Source organism: Homo sapiens, chromosome 10 (assembly GCF_000001405.40).
Source record: "Homo sapiens chromosome 10, GRCh38.p14 Primary Assembly".
Classification (NCBI taxonomy): Eukaryota; Metazoa; Chordata; class Mammalia; order Primates; family Hominidae; genus Homo; species Homo sapiens.
This window is the reverse complement of record NC_000010.11, coordinates 77,982,874-77,998,356: the sequence shown is the minus strand read 5'-3', so window position 1 is coordinate 77,998,356 and position 15,483 is coordinate 77,982,874. Positions and strand designations below refer to the sequence as shown.

Below are 15,483 nucleotides of genomic sequence, written 5' to 3'. Positions count from 1 at the left end.
CTCTGATGGTAGTTTCTTTTGCTGTGCAGAAGCTCTTTAGTTTAATTAGATCCCATTTGTCAATTTTGGCTTTTGTTGCCATTGCTTTTGGTGTTTTAGACATGAAGTCCTTGCCCATGCCTATGTCCTGAATGCTATTGCCTAGGTTTTCTTCTATGGTTTTTATGGTTTTAGGTCTAACATTTAAGTCTTTAATCCATCTTGAATTAATTTTTGTATAAGGTATAAGGAAGGGATCCAGTTTCAGCTTTCTACATATGACTACCCAGTTTTCCCAGCACCATTTATTAAATAGGGAATCCTTTCCCCATTGCTTGTTTTTCTCAGGTTTGTCAAAGATCAGATAGTTGTAGATATGCGGCATTATTTCTGAGGGCTCTGTTCTGTTCCACTGGTCTATATCTCTGTTTTGGTACCAGTCTATATCTCTGTTTTGGTTACTGTAGCCTTGTGTAGTTTGAAGTCAGGTAGCGTGATGCCTCCAGGTTTGTTCTTTTGGCTTAGGATTGACTTGGCGATGTGGGCTCTTTTTTGGTTCCATATGAACTTTAAAGTAGTTTTTTCCAATTTGTGAAGAAAGACATTGGTAGCTTGATGGGGATGGCATTGAGTCTATAAATTACCTTGGGCAGTATGGCCATTTTCACGATATTGATTCTTCCTACCCATGAGCATGGAATGTTCTCCATTTGTTTGTATCCTCTTTTATTTCATTGAGCAGTGGTTTTTAGTTCTCCTTGAAGAGGTCCTTCACATCCCTTGTAAGTTGGATTCCTAGGTATTTTATTCTCTTTGAAGCAATTGTGAATGGGAGTTCACTCATGATTTGGCTCTCTGTCTGTTATTGGTGTATAAGAATGCTTGTGATTTTTGCACATTGATTTTGTATCCTGAGACTTTGCTGAAGTTGCTTATCAGCTTGAGGAGATTTTGGGCTGAAACGATTGGGTTTTCTAGCTATACAATCATGTCATCTGCAAACAGGGACAATTTGACTTCCTCTTTTCCTAATTGAATGCCCTTTATTTCCTTCTGCTTGATTGCCCTGGCCAGAACTTCCAACACTATGTTGAATAGGAGTGGTAAGAGAGGGCATCCCTGTCTTGTGCCCGTTTTCAAAGGGAATGCTTCCAGTTTTTGCCCATTCAATATGATATTGGCTGTGGGTTTGTCATAGATAGCTCTTATTATTTTGAGATACATCCCATCAATACCTAATTTATTGAGAGTTTTTAGCATGAAGGGTTGTTGAATTTTGTCAAAGGCCTTTCTGCATCTATTGAGATAATCATGTGTTTTTTGTCTTTGGTTCTGTTTATATGCTGGATTACATTTATTGATCTGTGTATGTGGAACCAGCCTTGCATCCCAGGGATGAAGCCGACTTGATCATGGTGGATAAGCTTTTTGATGTGCTGCTGGATTCGGTTTGCCAGTATTTTATTGAGGATTTTTGCATCGATGTTCATCAAGGATATTGGTCTAAAATTCTCTTTTTTGGTTGTGTCTCTGCCAGGCTTTGGTATCAGGATGATGCTGGCCTCATAAAATGAGTTAGGGAGGATTCCCTCTTTTTCTATTGATTGGAGTAGTTTCAGAAGGAATGGTACCAGCTCCTCTTTTTACCTCTGGTAGAATTCGGCTGTGAATCCATCTGGTCCTGGACTTTTTTTGGTTGGTAAGCTATTAATTATTGCCTCAATTTCAGCTCCTGTTATTGGTCTATTCAGAGATTCAACTTCTTCCTGGTTTAGTCTTGGGAGGATGTATGTGTCGAGGAATTTATCCATTTCTTCTAGATTTTCTAGTTTATTTGCATAGAGGTATTTATAGTATTCTCTGATGGTAGTTTGTATTTCTGTGGGATCGTTGGTGATATCCCCTTTATCATTTTTTATTGCATCTATTTGATTCTTCTCTCTTTTCTTCTTTATTAGTCTTGCTAGCGGTCTGTCAATTTTGTTGATCTTTTCAAAAAACCAGCTCCTGGATTCATTAATTTTTTGAAGGGTTTTTTGTGTCTCTAGTTCCTTCAGTTCTGCTCTGATCTTAGTTATTTCTTGCCTTCTGCTAGCTTTTGAATGTGTTTGCTCTTGCTTCTCTTATTCTTTTAATTGTGATGTTAGGGTGTCAATTTTAGATCTTTCCTGCTTTCTCTTGTGGGCATTTAGTGCTATAAATTTCCCTCTACACACTGCTTTGAATGCGTCCCAGAGATTCTGGTATGTTGTGTCTTTGTTCTCGTTGGTTTCAAAGAACATCTTTATTTCTGCCTTCATTTCATTATTTACCCAGTAGTCATTCAGGAGCAGGTTGTTCAGTTTCCATGTAGTTGAGCGGTTTTGAGTGAGTTTCTTAATCCTGAGTTCTAGTTTGATTGCACTGTGGTCTGAGAGACAGTTTGTTATAATTTCTGTTCTTTTACATTTGCTAAGGAGTGCTTTACTTCCAACTGTGTGGTCAGTTTTGGAATAGGTGTGGTGTGGTGCTGAAAAGAATGTATATTCTGTTGATTTGGGGTGGAGAATTCTGTAGATGTCTATTAGGTCCGCTTGGTGCAGAGCTGAGTTCAATTCCTGGATATCCTTGTTAACTTTCTGTCTCGTTGTTCTGTCTAATGTTGACAGTGGGGTGTTAAAGTCTCCCATTATTATTGTGTGGGAGTCTAAGTCTCTTTGTAGGTCACTCAGGACTTGCTTTATGAATCTGGGTGCTCCTGTATTGGGTGCATATATATTTAGGATAGTTAGCTCTTCTTGTTGAATTGATCCCTTTACCATTATGTAATGGCCTTCTTTGTCTCTTTTGATCTTTGTTGGTTTAAAGTCTGTTTTATCAGAGACTAGGATTGCCACCCCTGCCTTTTTTTGTTTTCCATTTGCTTAGTAGATCTTCCTCCATCCCTTTATTTTGAGCCTATGTGTGTCTCTGCACGTGAGATGCATTTCCTGAATACAGCACACTGATGGGTCTTGACTCTTTATCCAATTTGCCAGTCTGTGTCTTTTAATTGGAGCATTTAGCCCATTTACATTTAAAGTTAATATTTTATTTGTGAATTTGATCCTGTCATTATGATGTTAGCTGGTTATTTTGCTTGTTAGTTGATGCAGTTTCTTCCTAGCCTTGATGGTCTTTACAATTTGGCATGTTTTTGCAGTGGCTGGTACCGGTTATTCCTTTCCATGTTTAGTGCTTCCTTCAGGAGCTCTTTTAGGGCAGGCCTGGTGGTGACAAAATCTCTCAGCATTTGCTTGTCTGTAAAGTATTTTATTTCTCCTTCACTTATGAAGCTTAGTTTGGCTGGATATGAAATTCTGTTTTGAAAATTCTTTTCTTTAAGAATGTTGAATATTGGTCCCCACTCTCTTCTGGCTTGTAGAGTTTCTGCCGAGAGATCCGCTGTTAGTCTGATGGGCTTCCCTTTGTGGGTAACCCGACCTTTCTCTCTGGCTGCCCTTAACATTTTTTCCTTCATTTCAACTTTGGTGAATCTGACAATTATGTGTCTTGGAGTTGCTCTTCTCGAGGAGTATCTTTGTGGTGTTCTCTGTATTTCCTGAATTTGAATGTTGGCCCACCTTGCTAGATTGGGGAAGTTCTCCTGGATAACATCCTGCAGAGTGTTTTCCAACTTGGTTCCCTTCTCCCCGTCACTTTCAGGTACACCAATCAGACGTAGATTTGGTCTTTTCACATAGTCCCATATTTCTTCAAGGCTTTGTTCATTTCTTTTTATTCTTTTTTCTCTAAACTTCTCTTCTGGCTTCATTTCATTCATTACGTCTTCCATCACTGATACCCTTTCTTCCAGTTGATCGCATTGGCTACTGAGTCTTCTGCTTTTTTTTTTTTTTTAAGTAATGTTTTTAACTACTTAAAACACCAGATAAAGTCAACACTACAAGTTGCTGGGCCATGAACTTGCTGTGGCTTTGTGTCTTCTCTCTCCCTACTATGGAAGCATGGCCCTTTGCAAGCTGGAAAACCAGGGTAGATAAACCAGAGATGTGAATGAGTGGGCCAGAACAAACACTGTGATTAGTGTGACAGTGGACACCTATTTCCAAGTCAGTAGACGCCTATTTCCATCATCTCTCCTGTAGCTCGTGTATCATCTGATACCTTTAATCGTCTTTTTTGTGTGTGTCATCCATGGAATACAATTAATCATCTTTCAATGGGAAATTGCCCTTCAGTGTGGGAGCATGCTGCTTTTGTCAGAAACCCAATAGACTGTGAAATACTTTTACCACTCTTGTCATAATGTGTGTTTTTACTTAATTTTTTTGTCTTTACTTTTTGAATTAGAGAGTATGACTTTGCCAGAGCAGTGTGTTAATGTAAACTAAATTAGTTCTGGCATAAGGGATTTTTTGTTTTGAAGTTGCCTAGAGGAAGATTTCCTTCTCTTTAATTCACTGAGCCACCATAGCATTGCTGGCTGGAGTGTTCAGCTGGTGGACGGTTCTCCCTAAGCAGATTTGAGAAGTCATTGCTGCCTGCTGGTTCAGACACAATACTGTCCCTGTTCTCTCTTCTTCCCCCTCTGTCCCAGAAGAGGGCCTGCACCTGATCCTCCGTAATTCATATTGAAGTCTGCAGGGGTCCTGGCTTAAGTTCTGTTTAGAAATGCAAAGCTATTGCATTAATTTATACCTTAGGGAGAAAGAGAAGGAAGGTAAAACAGCCTAGGAAAACAGCAGTTGCAGAGTCCTTTGTGGGTGATGCGGTTTAAATTGCATGTGTTCTAAAATACACTAAAATGTTGGAGGTTGGAGCATATTCCAAATCCCACTGCACAGGCTAGTAAGGCATTCTTGCTCTTGTTCTTGGGGTGAGAGGACTCTTTTTAAAGGGTTTCTAATAAAGTATTTTTATGTGATTAAAGTGCTTGTAACCTTGAGACTCTTGAGTTGCAAATCTTATCCTCTCCCCATGTGACTAGTCTTCTCAAAGCAGCTGAGCTTTTTCCTCCTTTTCCTTTAGCGAAGGCTTGTCAAATCTCTTGAAGATCTTTGCTCCCAGTATGATCTGACAGTCCGAAGCTCTACTGGCGATATTATCCAGTTCATTTATGGAGGAGATGGCTTAGATCCTGCAGCTATGGAGGGAAAAGATGAACCTTTGGAGTTTAAAAGGGTTCTGGACAACATCAAAGTAAGATTTAGCATTATATCTGGGGTTAGAGTGTTTTTAAGGATGTTTCTTTAGGACGGAAGTACTGTTTGGACTATCAATTGCAGTTAATAAATACTTCAGTATTTATAATCCCAAGCACTGGATTAGTATCTTTTTTCTTTGTGTTACTCTGTATAATTTTCCGATATTAAAAGGGAAGGGCCAGGCACAATGGCTTATGCCTGTGATCACAGCACTTTGGGAGGCCAAGGCAGGAGGATCACTTGAGGCCAGGAGTTTAAGACTAGCCTGGGCAGCAAAGTGAGACCCCGTCTCTATAAAAAAAAGAAAAAAGTTTTGCTTTTTTTTTTTACTTTCCAATATTTAAAGGAAAAAGGCCAAGTGCAGTGGCTTACACCTAGAATCCTAGCAATTTGGGAGGCCAAGGCAGGAGAATCACTTGAGGCGAGAAGTTTGAGGTCAGCCTGGGCAACAGAGGAAAAACTCTATCTCTAAAAAAATATTTTTTAAAGAATTAGCCAGACATCGGGCAGATCACAAGATCAAGAGATCGAGACCATCCTGGCCAACATGGTGAAACCCCATCTCTACTAAAGATACAAAAATTAGCTGGGTGTGGTGGTACGTGCCTATAATCCCAGCTACTTGGGAGGCTGAGGCAGGAGAATCACTTGAACCAGGGAGTTGGAGGTTGCAATGAACTGAGATCACACCACTGCACTCCAACCTGGCAACAGAGCGAGATTCCATCTCAAAAAAAAAAAAAAAAAAAAAAAGAATTAGCCAGGGATGATGGCATGCTCCTAAAGTTCCAGCTACTCAGGAGGCTGGGGCAGGTGAATCCTTAAGCCCAGGAATTTGAGGCCACAGTGAGCTGATCTTACCACTACATTCCAGCCTGGGTGACAGACCAAGACCCTGTCTTAAAAAAAAAAAAAAGATGAAAAAAAAAGTTGTTTTCAGTTGAAAGTCTAGTGTTGGTAGTAATCAAATGCCAACAGAAGAGGGCTTTGTTTGGTTTCGCTCTGTGTCAAGTAGAGCATACTAGAGACCAGTTTTATAAGTCATGGGCATTGAAAAGCAGGCACACTTCACATACTTTGAGAATATAACTTGGAACAACCTTTTTGGAGAGTAGCTGGACAATACCATTCTGAGTTTTAAATACGTGTCCCTTTTGACCCAGTAGTTTCCCTTACAGAAACTCCTTTTGTCCTCTAGAAATGGTCTAACTATGCCAAGAATGTTTTTTCTACGCTGCTTACAGTAAAGGCAAACCATCAGTAGAGGATAGTTCAAATACATGATGGTCTGTCTATACAAAAGAATAATAATGCAGCCATTAAAACATTGAGTCAACTTGGACAAAGCAGAGGAGAGGAAAAAAGAGGAAATTCTGCTGGGGCTCACGCTTGTAATCCTAGTCCTTTGGGAGGCTGAGGCGGTCATATCACTTGAGGTCAGGAGTTTGAAACCAGCCTGGCCAACATGGTGAAACCCCGTCTCTACTAAAAATACAAAAAAATTAATCGTACGTGGTGGCGCATGCCTGTAGTCCCAGCTACTCGGGAGGCTGAGGCAAGAGAATCACTTGAACCTGGGAGGCAGAGGTTGCAGTGAGCCGAGATGGCGCCATTGCACTCCAGCCTTGGCAATCCAGCAAGACTCCATCTCAAAAAAAAGAGAAATTTATGAGCTTCAGAAGTGGGAGAATATTTTCACTCTTGAAATGTTTGAGTTTTTTAAATAACAGCTTATATTTTTAATGTAAATCTGGTGGGGGGCAGTGGGGTGGCGAAGGCTGGGAAGTGATGGGACAACACCTGCTGAATAGCCCAGAAATTTTTGCATAGGATGGAGTATCCATTTATCCAGTTTTCACCTTCACATGAAAGGTAGAGTCCACAATTTGTTTTGAAAGAAAAATCACAGGTTGCTAAAAGCTCACCTTGGGTAAGGTCATTTTATCCTTTGTAAGTTCTCTCATCTACTACCGCCTGCTCTCTGTGGCACCCACACATAATGCAATTTTCTTTTAATACTCAAGGCAGTCTTCCCGTGTCCCAGTGAGCCTGCTCTCAGCAAAAACGAGCTGATCCTGACCACAGAGTCCATCATGAAGAAGAGTGAGTTCCTCTGCTGCCAGGACAGCTTCCTGCAGGTGAGCTCTGCCAGGTGCTGGCTACTGCACCCAGCCTGGCTGTCGTAAAGAACTCTGTTTGCCAAGGGCTGGCAAGTGGATTTTATAAGCTGGTTGTTTTTTAAGGTAGGGTTGTTCCTTTGTTAGAAAGTTCAAGAATGGGCCAGGCATGGTGGCTCATGCCTGTAATCCCAGCACTTTGGGAGGCCGAGGCAGGTGGATCACTTGAGGTCAGGAGTTCAAAACCAGATTGGCCAACACGATGAGACCCTGTCTCTACTAAAAATACAAAAATTAGCCGGGCGTGGTGGCGGGCACCTGTAATCCCAGCTCGGGAGGCTGAGGCAGGAGAATCGCTTGAACCTGAGAGGCGGAGGTTGCAGTACACCGGGATGGCACCACTGCACTTCAGCCTGGGCAACAGAGCAAGACTCCATCTCAAAAAAAAAAAAAAAAATGACAGGCAGTCATTCAAAAATGGCCAAGGCAAAATCTCACCAGCCAACAAGCAGAATTTATCTCATGACTTTCTTAGTTTATGTCTTTCACTCAAGCCATTTCCCTATTAGAAGAAAAATGTTTTTTTCCCCTGTTAGAAGAAAAATGCTGATTTTGTTTGAGCGCTGTCCCTAACACCAGCCTACTACCTACTCTATCTTGTGAGCCAACTCTTCCCTCAATCATTCTGAATCCCAATAATTATTAGTACTAGTAGTCTTGTTTTGATACCATTTATTTTAAACTGCTCTTTCTTTTGCTGTATTGTGGATCAAAAATCCATTGAATCAGCCTTTTCTATTCTTCCAGGGAGCTGTTACTTTGATACCCTCTTAAGGTTTTTTGGTTCGTTTGTTTTTTGTTTTTTTTTTATGGTTCTGACCTGCTCAGGCAGCTCCTTCATGTTTATAATCATGGTTAGGATCAAAAGCAAAGGGATACAGAAATCAGTAAATGGTTTCCTTTGTGTACTAAATAGTAATTCAAATGTAGCACAAGATCAGCAGGCCAAAGAAGAATGTATCTCTTTCCGTAGATCAAAAATAAAAACAGCGAGTGAAGCTTAAATAAGAATATTTGTGTTAAGGAAGCTCCTCGCTTCTTGTGTTCATGTGTCAAGGTGTGAAAGGTGAAAAAGAGACTCTTCCAGATTTTAAAATCAAGAGTGTGGCAAGGCTGGGTGCCTTTGTCTGTTTTTCTCCTCCAAAGGCTTTCTTATTCTTTTTTTTTAACTAACAAATTAGAGTTGTAATTTGGTTTTTCTTCACGCTCATGTTTACGTATTTATCTGTTTGTCCTCAAAGACCTTAACTGAGACAGGTTATGAAAGCTATAACGAGGTAACGTACTTAGCATGCTGTGAACGCCAACAGAAAGGGCCCACTCCAGCAGCACCCCAGCATTTGCCAGCGCCAGAGAGAGCAGGTTTCTGTCCCGGTTCTGGCAAACACTGCTTTGCTTTGGACTGGTTCCTTTCTTGCCCTTGAAAAGGTTTAACACAGGTGACCTCCTACCCGGCAGCATTTGTTTATTCAGTGAGCACTGGTTTAGCCCTCACCATATGTCACACAGTCCACAGATCCTGGGGATGCAAGGATGACTAAACATGTCCTTGCCACCGGCAGCTCACAATCCGATGAGCTCAGATTTGCTGAGAGGGTCCAAAATCCACTGGCCAGAACAGATGTGTCTGAGCCCGTGAAATGTTCTCCAGCCCTAGCCCGTATCAGAGCTGAGGTGACAGAGGCACTCCTGAGTGGCATTGAGCCCAGGTCCCTGCCAGAGGAGAATGCCCGTGCTCATAGGCCTGCTGTGGAGCATGAGACACTAACTTCTGGTTAATCGTGTGATGAATTGCCTGCCAATAGCCATGTTGTGAGTTCGTTCCCTCTAGTATGCATGGGTTGACTCAGTGTGAATTTTTAGCAGATTGTTTCAGTTTTCATTTCCAAAAAGTGAGCTGTTTTTCTTTTTTTATTTTTAAACCTAATTTCCAGAACCTTTGTGTAGGGAAAGTCATTCAGCAAACCCACGGGAAATGTGTCCATTGGGGTGAAAGCTGAGCTATGTCATTCCCAGTGCCTAAGCCGGCAGATTGTTTTAGGTGTGTTAATTTTACTCCCTATGTGTGCACAGTCCCTTGCAGATGAAAACCTTCTGGGTCTAAGGCTTGGCCTTAGGTTCTGCTCCTGTTTTTCCTGTGCCAACAGGTAAGGCAGCTTTTAACAACTGGTGATCAAATGGCAACATCTGGGCCAAGAGGGCTTTCGGGACCTTTCTCAAAAGGACCCAGCCACTGCCAGGCAAAGCCCCCTCTTATACTGAATATATAGAGGAAAAATTCAGTGGCAGCAAGTGCAAATGCCTTTGAATATTCTGTTAGAGCCATGCCAGAAGAGGTTGTCCCACTGCCCTCTACAGCTTTATTTTTCATCTCTGGTTTGCAAAAGGTAACTGTATCTGAAAACACAGTGTCAGACTCATCATTAATAACAAGGAATCAGGAGAGTTTCTCTTTAAAAAGAGTTTCTTGAGAACTCTAAAGTTCTTGCGAATTAATAAAAGTTTTTTTGTTTTTTTTTTCCTGAGACAGAGTCTCACAATCTCGGCTCACTGCAACCTCTGCCTCCTGGGTTCAAGTGATTCTCCTGCCTCAGCCTCCCAAATAGCTGGGACTACAGGTGCGTGCCACCATGCCCAGCTAATTTTTGTATTTTTAGTAGAGACGGGGTTTCACCTTGTTGGCCAGGCTGGTCTCCAACTCCTGACCTCAGGTGATCCACCTGCCTCAGCCTCCCAAAGTGCTGGGATTACAGGCATGAGCTACCGCACCCAGCTGGTAAAACTTCTTAAATAAAAAGCCCTTTCTATGTAGAACAATGATTGGGCTGCAGGGTCACCCTCCGTGGGCCTCTGCACTTTCTCAGTGGGAAGAAAGAGAGTGGGCCAACACAGAGAGTCATGAGAAAGCAGTATTCATGGGAACTGACAGCCAGGATGTGTTGGGCCCCCGAGGTAGCCCCTTGGCTGCCTGGGCTCCTGGGAGACAGACGGAATTTCCCAGTAGGCAAAGATTACATCGAAGAAACCCCTGTTCAGAGAAAAGACTTTGAAGAAAGCATCTGACTTCGTGGAGTGGTTGGTTGCCTTGGCCAAGCGCTGACCTCATTCAGGCCTTCAGTGCCTTCTGCTCTAGGGTGGTGGGGCTAAAGCCATGCCACCTCACAGTGAGGTCTTGCCAAGCTGGGCAGCAGCTGGCTGGGAAAGGCATAAGACCATGTGGACACAGATGCTAAGGCTATTTTAACAGGAACATAAAGTTCTAGCAGTTTGCTTGTAGAAAGGGTAGTAACTAGAAATGGCTAGTTAGGAGGCTAATGAGATTTCTTTTTGCAAGGTTAGGATAGAATGGGGCTAGGAAGTCTTAAGCTGTCTGTGGATACCTTATAGGATTTTATTTTTGCAGAAATGGGCTCCTGGTTCAGGCTTAGGCATTTTCAGCCATGTAATAGGCTGAGTGGACTTTGGGCAGGGCATGCTGGCCTTCTCTCTGGGGGACCCTCAGCCTACCCCAGAATCAAGAAACAGAACCTCATGAGGCTTCTCGGCCACCACAGTACGCAGTCTGCCCTCAAGCTGCTTGTCCTCCATGTGTGGGCATCTGTACTCATCCAGACACACAGAGCAGCTGAATGCCTGCATTTGGCCAGAGTGCCATTCAAGCTTACCGCCACTGTGATTTCCTTGCTGCTACAAAGGAGGGGCAGTCTATCTCCTCTTCCCCATATTCTCAGAGACTATATCATCCCTAGGCCACACCAGAGCAGCCGATGCCAGCTCCCGGGATGGCAGGATAATGGCCTCTGGAGGATGGTTGCTACTACATGGCAGGTGCCATCAGCTCACCCTGAGAATTGCTTTAAGAGCCAGTCTGTAGTCCGTGATGATTGACCCACTGTGAGCAGGATGTTAACCGCTCCTCTGTAAGTGCTCCTTCCCTGTGAGCACTCTCCAGGGGAAGGTGCTGGCTGATCCTGGCTTTAGGAGTGGTGGTGGGCTGGGTCTATTTCACAGACACACTGTAAATCCTAAAACAGATAGTTTTACCCATTTGAGTGGTTGCCAGAAAACCTGAGTCAGGGCTGTAGTCTCTAGCCCTGCTCTGATCTTCCACCTGTGTATTTTTCACCTTCTTCTTGCTCTACTTGGTCATCCTCCCGGGGCTGAGAGTGCTGTTCTTAAATACAGTGGGAATCGCAGCATATACTGATGCTTCACATCTGGCTTTGACAATGGTTTCCAGGAATCCTTACAGACTTCTAATTGTGTGTGGGAAGACAGTGTAGGCCTAGGCCTGTGGGGAGAGGTGGTTACCAGAGGGGAAAAGATAAGCTGGGTTTGGGGAGTGTTTTCTTTGAAATGAAGGTAAGCTCAAAGTGTGTTTGAAATGCATTTACTGTCAACAAAGCTATGCTTTAGTTGGTAGTATTTAAACTGAGCATAATACCTTCAGAAGAAACCCTCAAAAATTAATCTGTAGAAGAACAGTATAAATGCTTCAGTCGTACCTGTCTTGAGCTGTGTTCTTATAGCCCTCGTGGCACGTGGGAGAGCAAGAACAAAGGCTCCCACGCACTTTGTGGGCTCTGTAGATAGTGCCATGAGAGCAGTTGGAGGAGAAGGTCTTAGAGACACATTAACCAATGGAGTGTGTGTCTGGGGTATGGACAGTGTGGTGTGTTCCTTGGAAAACCACTTTGTAGTAGAAGCAGTATCCAGATTGGGTCCTTTATACTATATATGGAGCTAACACTAAAATATGATGGACTTGTCATATACAACTGAGGTTTATGAAATGAATTATGTCATCTGCATGACTGTGAAACTTACAAATGATGTTTGCTGTGTAATCTTTCAGGAAATAAAAAAATTCATTAAGGGGGTCTCTGAGAAGATCAAGAAAACCAGAGATAAATATGGCATCAATGATAACGGCACAACAGAGGTAATATCCCTCCAAGACGCGTTAGAACCCCGAGCTGTTTGTAGTTGCCGCTGGCCCTAACTCTGTGCTTGGCTTGTATTCTCCCAGCCCCGTGTGCTGTACCAGCTGGACCGCATCACCCCCACCCAAGTAGAAAAGTTTCTGGAGACCTGTAGGGACAAGTACATGAGGTAGGGATGCTTTTGTCTTGGACTGACGGTCATCCACATAGGTCTCACGTATCCCTTCTGTTTCCCCATGTGTACAAAACCCTGCACCAGCTCACTTGTTAACTGCCAGTATTTGATCAGATTCTGTCACATTTTCTGTAGGGGGTCTGATGAATTGCCAGTCTGAATGCTCCAAGATAACGGAAATAATTGCAAGGAAATTTCTTAGTGTCTTCTCCCCATGGGGAAACTGCTAACGAATATGGCAGATGCCACTGCTCTGTTTGCCATCAGTACCATTGGTTAGCAGACTGCTTAGATTTTCTGCATCCATTACATGCTGACCACAAGCAGCCATGCAGAATTGAGTTGCACTGCTGCCCCCTCTCTGACCTTTACTTTCCCCTGTCTGTACCTATTTCTGGTCTATGCCAGGCTTTTTCTCTGTCACAGACATACCCTTTCCGACCCTAATAGCATCTATATTCTCTGTTGAAAGGTGATAACCAGAAGCCTCTCCCCAGCAGTTTTGCTGGACTTTTCTTTGGCATGCTGCAATCTCATCCATACCTTTGCCTTCTAGGGCACAGATGGAGCCAGGTTCTGCAGTGGGTGCTCTGTGTGCCCAGAGCATTGGTGAGCCAGGCACCCAGATGACCCTGAAGACTTTCCACTTTGCAGGTGTGGCCTCCATGAACATCACCCTGGGCGTGCCCCGGATTAAAGAGATCATCAACGCTTCCAAGGCCATCAGGTGCCTGCTTTCATTTCCTTCTTGTTCCACACATGCCTGTCCTGTTTCCTGAGAAACAATGATCCCCGTGTCACATGCATATGTGTGATATCCTCATAGGACTGTGTCTTAAACTCTGGGTGGCATGCTTGCTGTGTTAATCCTATTTTGGTTTTTAAAAAAGCCACTCAAGAAAAAGTCTAAACTGGATACAGTCAAAATAGAAGCAATGGTTTTGTTATGGCCACAAGTAACATGAAGAGAGAAAATGTTTAAAATGACTGGAAAAATTGGAGCAATGTGTCAGTGGAGATTTCATCCTTTTGATGTCATTATTCCAGCCTAACTAGGCCTGACTGAAATGTCTGCCACTTGCCCTGTGGTCATATTCTGTGAGCCCCTGGTGATTTCATGATGGGATTTCTAGTTGATCTAAGGCTAGAAGAAATAGAAATGTATTACAATGCCTTCGATGACAAAAATAATGATTTTTACCTATGACCTATATTTAACAAAATGATAATACGTAGCATTGAATGAAAGATAGTCGGCTGGGCGCAATGGCTCACGCCTGTAATCCCAGCACTTTGGGAGGCTGAGGCGGGCAGATCACGAGGTCAGGAGATCAAGACATCCTGGCTAACATGGTGAAACCCCGTCTCTACTAAAAATACAAAAAATTAGCTGGGCGTGGTGGCGAGCGCCTGTAGTCCCAGCTACTCCAGAGGCTGAGGCAGGAGAATGGCATGAACCTGGGAGGCAGAGCTTGCTCAGTAAACTGGGGTTGCTAGTAACATTATGATTCTAAATAGCACTTGGGTTTAACAAAGCAGTAGTCCTCAAACAGCCTCCTCCCTTGTGCTAGTGCCATTTTTCCTTTGCTTCTCAACAGCACTCCAATTATCACAGCACAGCTAGACAAGGATGACGACGCGGATTATGCTCGCCTCGTGAAAGGGAGAATTGAGAAAACCCTCTTGGGAGAGGTAAGAAGAAATCCCTATTGATAACAAGAAAACTAGCTCAGCAATGTTGCAAGGAAGTGTAAAAATCAGCTGCCATCTATTGACCAGCCTGTGGCGTCCACACTACTCAAGCTCTTCAAAAAAGCAAGCAGTCGTGTGCTCTTAGGAAAGGGGAAAGCGGCTGATTAACAGTCTGATCTTTTGACACTCCAGATTTCCGAGTATATTGAAGAAGTGTTTCTTCCTGATGACTGCTTTATTCTCGTCAAGCTCTCCCTGGAACGGATTAGGCTTCTGAGACTGGAAGTGAGTCACATAATTAAATGTAGAGAGGAAGTCATCCTGTTAGTCCCAAGATAGGTACTGATAAACTAGGGCAAGAGCTAAGCAAGACAGAGGAAGCATTGCAGAACCTTCTGTGTGGTTTCTGGTTTTTGTGATTCTGTTGTCCCCTCACATTTTCTTTCTAAACCTGACCTTGATACAAATATACCCATCTAAAGACACACAGAAAATTAGTTGAAATTTTGTGCAGACCGCAATACCAGTTCACTGTGACACGGTATTATGATAAGTGGTCTTGTTGTCCCTCTTCCCAGTGTCTGGAAGGACCCTAGGGCTGGCTGTGTCTTACTCATCTGTGGATCCCCAGCGCCCAGCATGGCAGCTAGCCTAGGAAGTTCAGTAAATGTGTTTAGATGGGGAGATTAACCTGGCTTCTTAAACTGGCATGCATGGGTAATAGGCAACAGTTGAAAGATGATCAGCCTTTCTCACAAACAGACCAACTTGGGGTACAAACTGAGTAACTTCCCGACACCCTCTTCTTTCTCTCGGGTAGTTAAAGCTGTACTAGCCCTTAAAACACATTCTGTCAGCTCGTTCTCTCACGCATCAAGTTCATATGTTACCCATATAACAGTTGACTCAAATGCAGCAACCTGCTCTCCAGTTTGGGGATTTCTCTAGCCTGTCTCTTGCTGCCTGCCTTGTGGCTCCTTTGCAGAAGAGATGAGTTGTATCCAGGAACGTAGCACATGAACCATTGTGAAAGTGTCAGGTAAAGGGGAGGCCCCACGGAAGCTTTTAATTAGCCTGGCCTCCAACCTCCAGCCTCCCTAGAGCTTCCCACAGAGGCTGCGTGTGTTGCCATGAACTGAGCATGAATTTTCAAGGGCAAATATTTTGTCGTGGGTGAAAAAAACTACTCTTTTTATGAATAAAGCATAGATATATATACACATATAGTACATAAAACATATGTAGCATATTTATGGTATTAATTTCATGGTGCGGGTGGGGGGTGCTTAGAACAAACCTGACTAAAAGGACTTCTTAGAGGGGCAACAATG

At 43.2% G+C, this 15,483-nt stretch overlaps 1 protein-coding gene across 1 annotated transcript in view, besides 1 other annotated feature; it reads left to right on the top strand.

The window, feature by feature from the left end:
- Positions 1-15,483, top strand: part of POLR3A (RNA polymerase III subunit A) — a 54,367-nt gene that overhangs the window by 31,159 nt on the left and 7,725 nt on the right. Inside the window, exons 20-26 of the mRNA NM_007055.4 lie at positions 4,990-5,160; positions 7,190-7,303; positions 12,198-12,284; positions 12,372-12,454; positions 13,017-13,187; positions 14,059-14,152; positions 14,345-14,437. Of these exons, the coding sequence (NP_008986.2) occupies positions 4,990-5,160; positions 7,190-7,303; positions 12,198-12,284; positions 12,372-12,454; positions 13,017-13,187; positions 14,059-14,152; positions 14,345-14,437 (813 nt within the window). The remainder of the gene's footprint in view (positions 1-4,989; positions 5,161-7,189; positions 7,304-12,197; positions 12,285-12,371; positions 12,455-13,016; positions 13,188-14,058; positions 14,153-14,344; positions 14,438-15,483) is intronic.
- Positions 13,104-14,303: an enhancer, noted in NCBI's record as "BRD4-independent group 4 enhancer chr10:79743812-79745011 (GRCh37/hg19 assembly coordinates)". NCBI's record gives its function as "activates an origin of replication core promoter dependent on BRD2, P300/CBP, MED14 and CDK7 cofactors, and independent of BRD4, by STARR-seq in HCT116 cells {active_cell/tissue: HCT116}" and the evidence as "EXISTENCE:reporter gene assay evidence [ECO:0000049][PMID:35650434]".